The sequence below is a fragment of the Homo sapiens genome, chromosome X (assembly GCF_000001405.40).
Source record: "Homo sapiens chromosome X, GRCh38.p14 Primary Assembly".
Taxonomy (NCBI): domain Eukaryota; kingdom Metazoa; phylum Chordata; class Mammalia; order Primates; family Hominidae; genus Homo; species Homo sapiens.
In genome coordinates, this window is record NC_000023.11 from 53,986,654 (window position 1) to 54,000,287 (window position 13,634).

At 42.1% G+C, this 13,634-nt stretch overlaps 1 protein-coding gene across 12 annotated transcripts in view; it reads right to left on the reverse strand.

The window, feature by feature from the left end:
• PHF8 (PHD finger protein 8) overlaps positions 1–13,634 on the reverse strand; it is a 112,257-nt gene that overhangs the window by 49,974 nt on the left and 48,649 nt on the right. For 9 of the 12 annotated variants that reach the window (XM_005261996.2, XM_011530778.2, XM_047441934.1 and 6 more), the window contains 6 exons: positions 13,217–13,308; positions 9,040–9,129; positions 6,948–7,250; positions 6,083–6,186; positions 1,113–1,291; positions 425–510 (listed from right to left, as the gene is read on the reverse strand). In XM_005261996.2, the coding sequence (XP_005262053.1) occupies positions 425–510; positions 1,113–1,291; positions 6,083–6,186; positions 6,948–7,250; positions 9,040–9,129; positions 13,217–13,308 (854 nt within the window). The remainder of the gene's footprint in view (positions 1–424; positions 511–1,112; positions 1,292–6,082; positions 6,187–6,947; positions 7,251–9,039; positions 9,130–13,216; positions 13,309–13,634) is intronic. The other 3 variants (NM_001441096.1, NM_001184897.2, NM_001441098.1) reach the window with 1 other exon arrangement.

The following is a 13,634-nucleotide window of genomic DNA, read 5'->3' on the forward strand; positions in this document are numbered from 1 at the left end:
ACTGTATGCAGTGGCTCACCCTGTGATTCCAGCACTTTGGGAGGCCAAGGCAAAAGATCGCTTGAGCCCAGGAGTTTGAGACCAGCCTGGGCAACACAGCGAGACCCTATCTCTACAAAAAAAAATTTTTTTTAAAGAATTAGCTACATTGGTGGTGTGAGCCTGTGGTCCCAGCTACTAGAAGGCTGAGCTGGCCCCGGAGGTCAAGACTGCTGTGAACCATGATCATGCCATTGTACCCCAGCCTGGGCAACAGAGCGAGGAGACTCTGTCTCAAAAAATAATAGTAATAATAAATAAATTATTCAGGAAATGAATGCAAAGGATGTCTTCCTCCCTGCATATCCCCCAACTAGAATGACAATCTGTCTTCTGTCTCTATCACCAGAATGAGCAGAAGACTAGATCCAGGGCAGAATCCTACCTCAATGTCAAACTCAACTTCTCCTGGTTCACGAACTCGGTTGGGGTCAGAGCAAGGCTTCGCACGGGGCAATTTCCGGGGAAATTCTAGAAAACAATGGAATGCACTTATTATGAAGCTATGATTAGCATTTCAGCCAAATACCCAGAAGAAAAAAATAAGACTAATTTTCTTGGAAGTAATGACCACAGATGACTAATTTAGAGGTTAGGGATCAGGTGATAAATAAATCTTTAGAACAAAGGAAACAATGAAGGCCTACAGAACATAGTATAGCAAAATGTCAACAAGCTCAGGCCTAAGGTCTTAAGTCTATCAAGAGGGCCAAAAACAAATATAAAATGGGCAAGGGCTGGGCGTGGTGGCTTGCACCTGTAATCCCAGCACTTTGGGAGGCTGAGATGGGCGGATCACCTGAGGTCAGGAGTTCGAGACCAGCCTGATGAACATAGTGAAATCCCATCTCTACTAAAAATACAAAATTAGCCAGGCATGGTGGCACATGCCTGTAATCCCAGCTACTCAGGAGGCTGAGGCAGGAGAATCACTTGAACCCGGGAGGCGGAGGTTGCAGTGAGCCAAGATCGTGCCATTGCACTCCAGCCTGGGCAACAAGAGCAAAACTCCGTCTCAAAACAAACAAACAAAAAAACGGGCAGGGGAGGAAAAAGAAAGAACAGACACACACTTGGTCTTATTATCAGGGTCGCCTTCTCCTTTCCCAATCTCTCGTCAATCTGCAGCTCATCATCTGAATCCAAGTCAAATTCGTCTTCCATCACCTGTTCTGCCATCAGCCTAGCCTTGTCTACCTTCTTTGCTATCTTGGTTCGCCGAGATTTGGATAAACTCTTCACCCTTTTCGTACTGAAGGGAAGGAGAACATAAAAACAGTCACTAGCAGTATTGTTAGTCGCTAGCAAGATTGCAATTCTCTCTACATTGACCTACAGATTCAATACAATCCCTATCAAAATCCAGCCAGCTTTTTAAATAAAAAGCTGATAGTAAAACGTACATGGACATAGAAAGGACCTAACACAGCCAAAATAATTTTGAAAAAGAACATTGGATGACTTATACTGCTCAATTCCAAAATTTACTCTAAAGCTATGGTAATCAAGGCAATGCAATACCAGCATAAAGACAGACATACAGCAGTGGAAAAGAGTTCCGAATAAACCCGTACAGTTATGATCAAATGATTTTTGACAAAAGGTGCTAAAGCAGCTCAGTGAGGGAAAGGATGGTTTTTTTCAGTAGAAGTTGCTGAGAAAAATGGATACAAAGAAATAAATGTGGACCCTTATCTCACATCATATACAAAAATTAACTTAAAATGCATCATAGATCTAAATGTAAAACCTAAAACTATAAAACTAGAGTAAAACACAGAAAAATATCATTATGACCTGGGATTAAGTAAAATTAAAAATTTTTGTATTTCAAAAGAAACCATTAAGAAAATAAAATATAAGCCACAGACTGGGAGAAAATATTTGGAAATCGTTTATCTGGCAAAGGATTTGTATCCAAAAAAAAATTTTTTTTTTTTTTTTTCTGAGACAGAGTCTCGCTCTGTCACCCAGGCTGGAGTTCAATGGCATGATCTCAGCTCACGGCAACCTCCGCCTCTCAGGTTCAAGTAATTCTCTTGCCTCAGCAAGACTCCGTCTCAAAAAAAAAAAAAAAATACTGTATTGTATACTTGAAATTTCATAAGAGAGTAGACCTATGTGTTCTCACCACAAACACACACAAAAATGGTAAGTATGTGAAGTGATGCATATGTTAATCAGCTTTACTGGCATAATCATTTCACAGTATAGATTTTATCAAATATCACATTGTATACCTTAAATATAGACAATTTTTATATTTGCTTTTTTTTTTTTTCTTTTTGAGATGGAGTCTTGCTCTGTCGCCCAGGCTGGAGTACAGTGGCATGATCTTGGCTCACTAAAACCTCCCGCCTCCTAGGTTCAAGCAATTCTCCTGTCTCAGCCTCCCAAGTAGCTGGGATTACAGGCACCCACCACCATGTCTGGCTAATTTTTATGATTTTAGTAGAGACAAGGGTTTCGTCATGTTGGCCAGGCTGGTCTCAAACTCCTAACAAGTGATCCGCCCACCCTGGCCTCCCAAAGTGTTGGGATTACAGCTGTGAGCCACTGCACCGGGCCACAATTTTTATTTTTTAAAAAACACATACAATGAGTTACCACTTTACATCCACCGGAATGGCTATAGTCAAGAAGAAAAAAAAAATAACAAATGTTGGCCAGTAAGTGAAGAAACTCATGATTGCTGGTTGAAATGAACATTGCCTTTGTCCAGAACTCAAAAGTGGCTTAGATAATCTTGTTACACATAGTAGATGATATTAACCAATATAAACTGCTGGAAAAACCTCAATGGCTACAGTCAAAAAGAAAAAAAAAACAACAAACGTTGGCCAGTAAGTGAAGACACTCATGATTGCTGGTTGAAATGAACACTGCCTTTGTTCAGGACTCAAAAAGTGGCTTAGATAATCCTGTTACACATAGTAGACGATATTAACCAATACAAACTGCTGAAAAAAACCTCATAAACAGTTAAAAAGAAACATGTTTTTGGTAAATCAGTAAATTGATACATTTAGCAACTAGTAATTTGGTTAAATTGACTTTCAGTGAATTGTCTGTCATTTAACTGACCTATTTTCTACTTCAGAGGGTTGAGGATTAAATGAGCTCATACAGAGCTTGATCCATGGCAACTGCTCCATGTAGGTAATATTATAAGGTTCTCTGACTCTCAGTTTTCACCTTAGTAAAATGGGGATACTACTACTTACTTTTGGGGTTGTGAGGATTAAATAAAATAGTGTATATAAACAGCTAAGATAGACTTTGACACAGAGGAGATGCTCAATAAATGACAGCTATGTATGCCCTGATCTTTTATTAACTTCTAATAATTAAAAATTTCAGCTGGGTTGTGGTAGTGCATGTCTGTAGTATCAGCTAACTCAAGAGGCTGAGGCAAGAGAACTGCTTGAGCCCAGGCAATACAGCAAGACCCTGTCTCTAATAATTTTTAAAAAAATTTTAAAGAAAAATTTCAAATACACAAAAATATAAAAGTAGAATTAATTCTCATATACCTATCACTCAGCTAAGTTTCAGCAATTATCAACCCAGCCAGTCTTGTTTCATCTACACCTCATTCTCTTCAAAACACCAAGTTTGGAGAGAAGCCCAGACATAGCATCACATCATCTGTAAATATTTCTATACTTTGACTATCTGGGTTCACTTAACAGCTTCTGACAGCTGCAGCGGGTAATAGGCAGCAGCACAAGAAGGACTGCTGGGGGTGGGGCAGGGGCAGGAAATGTCTTATTGTACCTTCAATAGCCATTATAGGCTAGACTCCTAGGACTCTGAATTTTCTCCTGTCCAGGAGACCTATCATGAGTTCTGGACAAAGGCAATATTCAACGGTCTCTCTAATCTTACACTTTAGTAACTGGATTCTCAAACCCCAAGAATAGCTCTGTTGCTTTCAGAATCTGCCCTACTCTCACTCCTTTTTCCCTTATTTTCCACCCAGATGGGCCCAGATGGACCTGAAGGTAACCTTTTCCTACAAGGAGGCAATTAAGCTACCTTTGTTGTTTGTGTTCCTACATCGTTCATACTCTGCACTTGGCTCTTGACTGCTGATGTCTAGTGTTCTGAGTATCTAGAAAATAGCCCTTACTGCCTTCCCCTGCCTCTATGTATTTCAGGGTTTCTGACAATCTTCTTGGATTCTGGTCATACCCACATCATTATCACCATCTTCATGGAGAATTCTTTTGTCTCTATCTTCATCATCATATTTATAAGAACTACCATGTATTAAGTATTAATTATATGGCAGGCCCTGTGGTTAACGTTCTACGTATATTATCTCATTTAATCCTCCAACAACCCTAAGGTAAGTTTTAACTATAGAATACATATAATGAGGACACTGAAGCTCAGATAGGTTCATTAGTTTGCCAAAGTAGAACACTGAATATGTGTCACAGCTGGGATTTAAACCTCGGACTGCCTGATTCCCAAGTCCATAATTTTGTTGTAAACAGCTTTTATTTTATTCTTTTAGAACTTGTTCTTTTAAAATTATTTAAAGAAAAGTAAATAAATATTTAAAGAAAAGTAAATACGTGCTCATTGTACAAAATTCAAATGCTACTGAAGTGAAAATTTGCTCTTACCTTCCCTATTGTACTTTCCAGGGATAACCACTGTTAAAAACTTGGTATAACAAGGCCGGGCATGTTGGCTCATGCCTGTAATCCCAGCACTTTGGGAGACCGAGGTGGGCGGATCACTCGAGGCCAGGAGTTCGAGACCAGCCTGGCCAACATGCGGAAACCCTGTCTCTACTAAAAATACAAAAATTAGCTGGGCATAGTGGCATGCGCCTGCAGTCCCAGCTATTTGGGAGGCTGAGACACGAGAATCACTTGAACCGAGCAGGGCAGAGGTTGCAGTGAGCTGAGATCGCACCACTGCATTCCAGCCTGGTAACAGAGTGAGACTCTGTCTCAAAAAAAAAAAAAAAAAAAAAAAACAAAACTTGGTATGAGAAGTATAAAATATATAACTAGGCCAGGCAAGGTGGCTCACACCTGTAATCCCAGCACTCTGGAGGCTGAAGTGAGAGGATCACCTGAGTCTAGGAGTTAGAGCTCAGCCTGGGCAATAACAGAGACCCCATCTCTATTTTTTTTTAAAGGTATTTACATATATATAACACACTATTTATTTGCCTAAATGTACATACATATCTCTGGAAGGAAACCACTGACATTGGTTGTCCATGGGAAGGTAACAGGGAAAGAGAGATGGGTGTGAGATTTTTCACTGTGTGCTCTTTCACACTGTTTTATTTCTAACGCTTGTATATTGCATTTTTAAACCTCTTCAAAAAATACAAATGTCTATATACAGCTTTTCCATACGTGCATACATATACACATGTGCATACATGCCCTTTTAAAAGTAAAAATGGAACTATTCCTATGTATTATTATGTAACCTGATTTTAAAAATATACCTTGAACATCTTTCTGTGTCAATATTTAACTGTCTCATTCTTTTTAACAGCTACATGATATTCCATTCTATAGATGTACCATCATTTATTTATCTAGCCCTTACTGATGAACATTTGGATGTTTCCAATTACTATTACAAACAATGGTGCAGTGAACACTGAACATTTATCGTTACACACTTGTGTGCAAGGATTTCTGTAAACTAAATTCCTAAAAATCTAATCGAAAGTCAAAAGGTATAGAAAAAACTAATGCTTTTAGTAAGTATGCTATACTTATTGCTGCCAGTGGTTCTCTCCCAATGACTTGCTGAAGTTTCTAGAACTGATAAAATCTTTCTCAGGCTTGCCAATTCGATTTCAGACCTCTCACTCTACCCACCTCCAACACCACACCATGGTTCTCTGAACTAAGCAACAATACATTATAATATCTAGGTATTGCCCTAAGTACAGTCCCTCCTACCCATGTCCCAACCCCTAGATTCCAATTCCATGCCCTGTCTCAGTGGCATATTACCACTGACAGTCCCAGTACCTCTGTGCTCCTCCTTCCCACCTCACCTGCCGTTAGACATCAATAGGGCCAATGGGCTCTCATTTCCATCAAGGTCCAAGTCTGGTGAGTCGTCATCTGAGTCATTCAAGCAGGCACCAGTGATGTTGAACTGTAGAAGTAGGAGACTCAGCCGTTACCTGTCTGGGACTCCCATGGGAATCACGATGGCAAGTTCCCTCTGGTTTCACTGGTTCAGTTCACTGTCAAAACCACCTGAGCCAAGGCCTTCTGCTATACTGTCCCCCCATACCCCCACTGATCACAGGAGCAGGAGGTTGAAAATGTGTGGTTGGTTCAGGGGACACCTGTCAATCTTGTGAACCATGTTCCCTTAAAAAAGAGGGGGCACATCTTCAGATGCCCATGGAGAGAATCACAATCTTGAGGCAAGATGGAGCCCTGGTGGAGGGCTTTTCTCAAGGACCTGCTCAAGACTACAACCTGACACACGCAATGTTTTCAAATCTCATTCCCGTCCCAGCATTTCAAAATTCAGCTAAGTGTTATGTTTTCTGAAAAGAGCTCCTGAAAATCTTCCCTACCCAGACAGAATCAACCCTCCTCTGTATCTCAGGGTCCCACACACACCCCTGATTGTGGCATTCACAATACTTGATTGCACTCATTTGTTTTTATGCCTGTCTTTCTCACTCGCCTGTCAGCCTCTTGAGAGTCACATCCACAGCACCTATCACAGTGCCCGGCATAGAAAAGGTCTCAATAAATGCCTATTAAATGAGTGGGACTGGTAGCCAAACAGCAGGGGGTCTAAGGGACATGGCAGCCAGACAGGATAGCCTGCTTTTTGAAACCCTGCTCTTCCAAGGGACACCCAAAAGGGTTGGGCTGAACCCATGGGCCAGCACCCACCTTTGCTTTCTGGAAAGAGCCTGTCTTCAGTGCCTGATGACTGTATGTGTCCATGAGATTATAGCTCAACTGGCCAGCAGGCCCCAAGGCTGAACTCTCCTTGCCCTTTCGCTCTGCCTTCTTGAAGAGTTCCTTGGGCTTCAGGCCTTTCTTCTTTGAACCATTTTTGGAGGGCAGTGACAGCCTGGACATGGACACTGAAGTGGAATGGGCTGGCCTGGTTAGGGGAATGGAGCCGGCTGGGAAGATCCTCTGCAGCCCAAAGATATTGCTCGTCTTCCCAACGTTCTGTTGGAAGATGTCCTACAAGAGTGTTAGTACATGAGGGGGTTAGAGCTTACTCAAGGGTTCTCTCAACACTAACAGCAGAGGTCTGTTCCTGGTACTGGTGGTACTGCCATGGAAGTGGCTTATAGATGCTCCACATATGCACACCCTAGCTTTTACATAATGAGTCATCAAGAATTTATTGGGTGGCATTTCTTTACCCAGCCATTGACAAGTAAGAAGACGAGCAAAGCACTACTGTCAAAACTGGAGAGAAAATACTCCATTAAGTAGCTGACATGAGACAGAAAATAATCAAGTACTAATCTGTGTGGTTCAAATTCTAAGGACTACAGGATTTGAGAGAAGGAGAGGTTCTAGTCCTAATTCTGCTGCTAGCTAGCTCTGTAACTAGCTCAGGAAAGTTATCTGACCATTTGAGACTGTTTGCTTAGCTGTAAAATTAAAGGACTAGACTGGAAAGGTGATTTTTGAAGATGTTCTGTGGCTCCTTTGAGCTTCTTGGGAGGAGCCCCGAGAATCGGGGGAAGGTAGAAGGCGAATGAGAAGAACAAGTGGAGCCCTGGGCCTCCCACCTTCATCTTATTCAAAGCAGTTATGCTTTGAATATTGGGCTTCCACCTAAGATGTCATTTTAAAAAAAGGATTCCATTGCTTTAAAACATTTGAAAGCCCATGGACCACATATAATCTATCTCTAAGTCCTCTTCCAACCAGCCCAAAGTTTTGTGGTTTAAGTGAGAGGCGCTGGAGAAAAGGTAAGCCTTTAACTATCCTGAATGATTTTGACAGATGGGACTGGAGGAAAATGAGAGGTAGGAGGTGGACACTGTAAGCTATGGTGTAGGCAGTGAAACATGCTGCAAGCATTGAGGCTAGAAGCACAACTTCCCAGCTCACTTTGACCACCCTTCAGCATGGATGTATATATCCTGGGCACTAAATAAAACTTTACAGCTTCTGAGCTTAAAGGAATTCTCCTCTGGTGCCTCTGCTACTTCACCATCCCACACCAACTTCTCTCTTTGCTATTAAAGTCTACTAATAACAATGGCTCACATTTATTGAGTACTTACTCTGCCAGGCACTGTGCGAGGGGCTCTACATATATTAGCTTTTGATCCTAACAAAATCCTGAAAGGTTGATGTTATCCTCACTTTACAGATGAGGAAACTGAGGCTCTGAAAGGCTTGCAAGTGACAGAGCAGGAACCAGAACCCAGGTTTCTCTGAATCTCTTACCACTATACCTTACTGCCTCGTGGTATATGCCACCTGTTGAAACATGGCTTTGTAATCATCTTCACCCCGAGAGAACTGTCATTTTGCAGAATGCAGAGACTGAGTCAAAATATTAATAATAACAACAACTACAACTACCACCACCACCCACCACCACGACCCACCGTCAGAATTTACTGTGCACCTACTGTGTGCCAAGCACTCTATTTTTGTGCTCAACCCACATTACCTTATTTAATCCTTTTAACAATCCTCGAGTAGGTACAATTATCCCCATTTTAGAGATGAGGAAACTGAAACTCAAAGAGGTTAACTTTGCTCAGGGTCCTCTATTAGGCTGAGTTCTTTGTGGGCAGGCACTATTTACGTATTTTAAGAGCCTAGCCCAATGTGCGGCACACTTGAAACACAGTAATAATTATTTGAACGAATGAATTGGGTCTTTGGTAGGGTCTTCCCGACCCTTCCCCTGGGCTCTCATGCTAACTGCAGAGGCCTAACCTGCCACTTGAGCCTCAAGGCCTTTCCAAATGCCTTTTCTTCCCTGCCCCATGCTCCTTACTTCCACCAGGCGGATCTCCCTGGCCAGATCTTTAATGAGCTGTACGGTTCGCACTGTCTCCGGGATCTCATCCTCATGGTCTGGCAGAGCCTGTCAAACAAGAGGCATGAGGAATAAACCCACACATAAAGAGACAACTGATTTTGGACAAATATGCCAAGGCAATTCAATGGAGAAAGAGTAGTCTTTTCAACAAATGATTCTGGACCAATTGGATATCCACATGCAAAAAAAAAAACAAAAACAAACAAACCTCAATCCCTATCTTGCACCATACACACAAACACAAACTTAAAATGGATCATAGACCTAAATGTAAAACCTAAAACTATACACCCTTTAGACCATGCTTGCCCAACCCACTGCCCAAGATGGCTTTGAATGCAACTCAACACAAATTAGCAAACTTTCTTAAAACATTATGAGACTTTTTTTTTTTTTGAGATGGAGTTTCACTATTGTTGCCCAGGCTGAAGTGCAATGGTACCATCTCGGCTTGCTGCAACCCCCGCCTCCCGGGTTCAAGCGATTCTCCTGCCTCAGCCTCCACAGTAGCTGGGACTAGAGTGAGCCACTACGCCCAGCTAATTTTTTGTGTTTTTAGTAGATACGGGGTTTCACCATGTTGGCCAGGCTGGTCTCGAACTCCTGACCTCAGGTGATCCACCCGCCTTGGCCTCCAAAGTGCTGGGATTACAGGCATGAGCCACTGCACCCAGCCTATGATATTTTTTGTAATTTTTTTTTTTTTTTTAGCTCATCAGCTATCGTTACGTATGGCCCAAGACAATTCTTCTTCCAAGGTGGCCCAGGGAAGCCAAAAGGTTGGAAACCCTTGCTATATTTTATTTACTTCTTACTATTTTCTTGAGACAGAGTCTTACTCTGCCACCCAGGCTGGAGTTCAGTGGTGTGGTGGTCTCGGCTCACTGAAACCTTCACCTCCTGGGTTCAAGCAATTCTCATGCCTCAGCCTCCCCAGTAGCTGGGATTACAAGCACGTACCACCACGCCCGGCTAATTTTTGTAATTTTAGTGCAGATGGGGTTTCGCCATGTTGGCCAGGCTGGTCTCAAACTCCTGACCTCAGGTGATCCACCCGCCTCGGCCTTCCAAAGTGCTGGGATTACGGGCGTGAGCCACTGCACCCCGGCTGGAAACCCCTGCTTTAGACAGAGGAGGAGTTCTTTGTGGCCTTCAGTTAGGCAAAGATTTCTTAGATAGGACATAAGCATGGACCAGAAAAGAAAAAAGTTGATCAACTGGACTTAAAAAGCAAAACTTTTTTGAAAAACCTCTATTTCAGCACCTCTGCTACTTTGTAAGGCACAGACTGAGAGAAAATATTTGTAAAACATCTATCTAATAAAAGAGTATCAAAAGGTATTAGGAACTAAGTTGTGGGTTTGGGCCACACCCCTCAAAAAAGTCAAGGACCTCAGGGAGATCAGTGGGGACAAACCAGCCTCTCCACTTGTGAGGAAAGAACTCTGTGCTGAGCAGCTGCTGGCCCACAGCTAGCTCAACAGCAACCCAGAGCGATCCCTGTTAGTTGTCTCTCTTTCGTTTGCCCTCTTTTTGAGTACCGAGATTTACATTTTTATGTAGATCTCAAGGTTTTCTTCCTTTGTGATTTTTTTTCTACCACTTTTCACTTCATTTCTGTATCCAGAGGGCTGATAAAAAATTCCTCAGCATTTCCTTGTTTCTCATGGTTTAATTCTCTTTTTTCCCTTTAACTCTTTTCATCTATCTGGTGGAATTTATTTTGGTGGCTAGGCGGGGAGCTGAGAATCCATGTGACCCAGCTAAATAATCTTATGGCTTCCTCCTTCCCAGACCAGGGTCTCTGGAAAGGTGAGGGAGCAGGTTCCTCCCCTACAAATCATCTGCACTTCACAAAAGACTCCTTCCATGAGCATGGGCTTCTCAGAACTGTGTTCTACTCTACTCCAGCTCCCACTGATCACTCTGTTTGGGGCCATCCCTTGGTCCCTGGGTCCATCCTGAGTCATGAGTGCTTGGGCCACACCCACCTCCCTTTTGGTGTTTTTGGGACACAGTCACTCTAAAGTTCACTCCATGGGAGGTGTCAGAGATGAAACCCAAGGTAGCCACACCTGAGAGGTGTGGAGAAACAGAATCACAGGCTAAGGTCCAGGTGTAGGTGAGCCCAGGGAGCAAGGGAAGGCTCAAAATATGAAATCCAAGAATATCCGAGGGGAAGGTTGGCAACAGGAACTAAGGAGATTGTACAAGTTAAGCCTGCAGTGCAGTGACCTTTGGTCACAGTATACACAGGAAAGGGAGTATCTGAAGCCTAAGATTACATGTTGACATTTCTTCTTCTCTTGATTTCTTGGTGTGTTTTTTAAATTCAGTATTCTGAAAAGTTAATTCGTTCACATAGGTCAAAAATCAAATATTGGTGCTGAGAAGGAAATTAACAGCTAAAGGCTTACATTAGAAAAGAAAGGCAGGCCAGGTGTGGTGGCTCATGCCTGTAATCCCAGCACTTTGGGAGGCTGAGGTGGATGGATCACTTGAGGTCAGGAGTTCGAGACCAGCCTGGCCAACATGGTGAAACCCCGTCTCTATTAAAAATACAAAAATTAGCCAGGCGTGGTGGCACATGCCTGTAATCCCAGCTACTCAGGAGGCTGAGGCACGAGAATCGCTTGAACCTGGGAGGCAGAGGCTGCAGTGAGCTGAGATCGTGCCACTGCACTCCAGCCTGGGCGACAGAGTGAGGTTCTGTCTCATAAATAAATAAATAAAATAAAATAAAATAAAATAAAATGATATTGAAAAGCTTCATTCCTACCCTGTCCCTGCCATCAATCCCACCCTGCCCCTGCCATCAATCCCATCATCCCACTCCCACAGGTAACCATTTTCATTAGTTTCTACATCCCAGATCATATATCCAGGCAAGTATATACTAACATAATTCTTATTTCTCCCCTTTTTACATATAAAGTGGCACACTATACACACGGTTGTGCACCTTGACAAATTTTGGAGATCTTTCCAAATCAGTACATACAGAGCTTTCTTATTTTTTTTTATAGTTGATTAATGTTCAGTTGGATAAATGGACATTTGTACATTTCTAAAACCCACTTTGGCAGTATGCATCAAGAGCCTTACATTTTTTCATATACTTTGATTCAGTAATTGTTCTTCCAGGAATCCATCCTGAAGAAACAATCAAGAAATGAGGGACAAAGACTGATATTTACTGTCTGATTCTTTAAAACTATCCCCTCAAAGAAATAAAAAGGAAGCAGCAATAAGCAAGTAGTTAGGCAAGGATGGTACATTCCTGCAAAAGAATATCACATAACTATTAAATGTTTCTGGAGAACTTTGGTGACACAGGAAAATTAAGACAAACCAATAGATTCAAACACAAAACTGGATATACAGTTGACCCTTGAACAACATGGGTTTGAAATGTATGGGTCCGTTTATATGCAGATTTTCTTCTGCCTGGGCCACCCGGGACAGCAAGACCAACCCCTCTCCTTTTTCTTCCTCCTCAGCCTACTCCATGTGAAGACAAGGATGAAGCCCTTTATGAGGATTCATTTCCACTTTATGAACAGTAAACACATGTTTTCAGCTTACTTTATTGTAATAATACAGTATACAACACAAATAACATATACAAAATATGTGTTGACTATATTACTGGTAAGGCTTCTGGTCAACAGTAGGCTGTTAGCAGTTAAGGTTTTAGGGAGGCAAAAGTTATATGTGGATTTTTGACTGCATTGGGGGGCAGGGTCTGCACCCCAACCTCCACATTGTTCAAGGGTCAACCACACAGTGTGACAGTAATTATGTTTTTAAAATGCACATAAAAAAGACCAGAAGGAAATGTACACAAGTGTTAATAGCAGTTCCCGCTGAGTGTAAAAATCATAGGTGATAATTTTCCTTCTTTATGCTTTTCCTCATTTTTCTAATTCTCTAGTGTGATGTTGTATTACTTTTTATCATCAGAAAGAAAGATTTTAAAATGTAATCAAAGGAATCCTAGCCCACACCTCCACTCTACACCCAGGAGCCCACAAGCTTCTCTGGTCTCTTCTGTCTCTCCAAAACATCTACCCAAATCCAGTCCCTACAAAGGGCAAAACTCCAGAGGAGGTAGAGAAATATGCATATTTACTTCTTTCCTTGTCCAGGCTCTAAAGGCCAAGTTCAAGGCTTTGCCACCATGGACCAGGTAGGAGGCAGGGTGTCTCCTGTTCTCTCGCAAACCTAAAGGAGGAAAGAGGAAAGCAGAGTGTCAACAAAGCCATGCAGGAAAGTGAAGGACTTGGGACTTTTGTTAAGACAACCAGAGAAAATGCTCAAGGTTCTGAGCACAACTGCAGATCTCAGTTCTTCTGATAGTGTTCATTCACTGAGTACCTACTAAGTGCTAGGAATGTGATATCTATTATCTCATTTAACACTTATACCTATCCTGTAAGCAAGGTATTATCTTCATTATACAGCCCAGAAAATTGAGGTTCAGAGAGGCAAAGTCAAGACCCAGGGCACACACCTAGCAAGTGCTAGAGCCATGACTAAAACCATGTGTA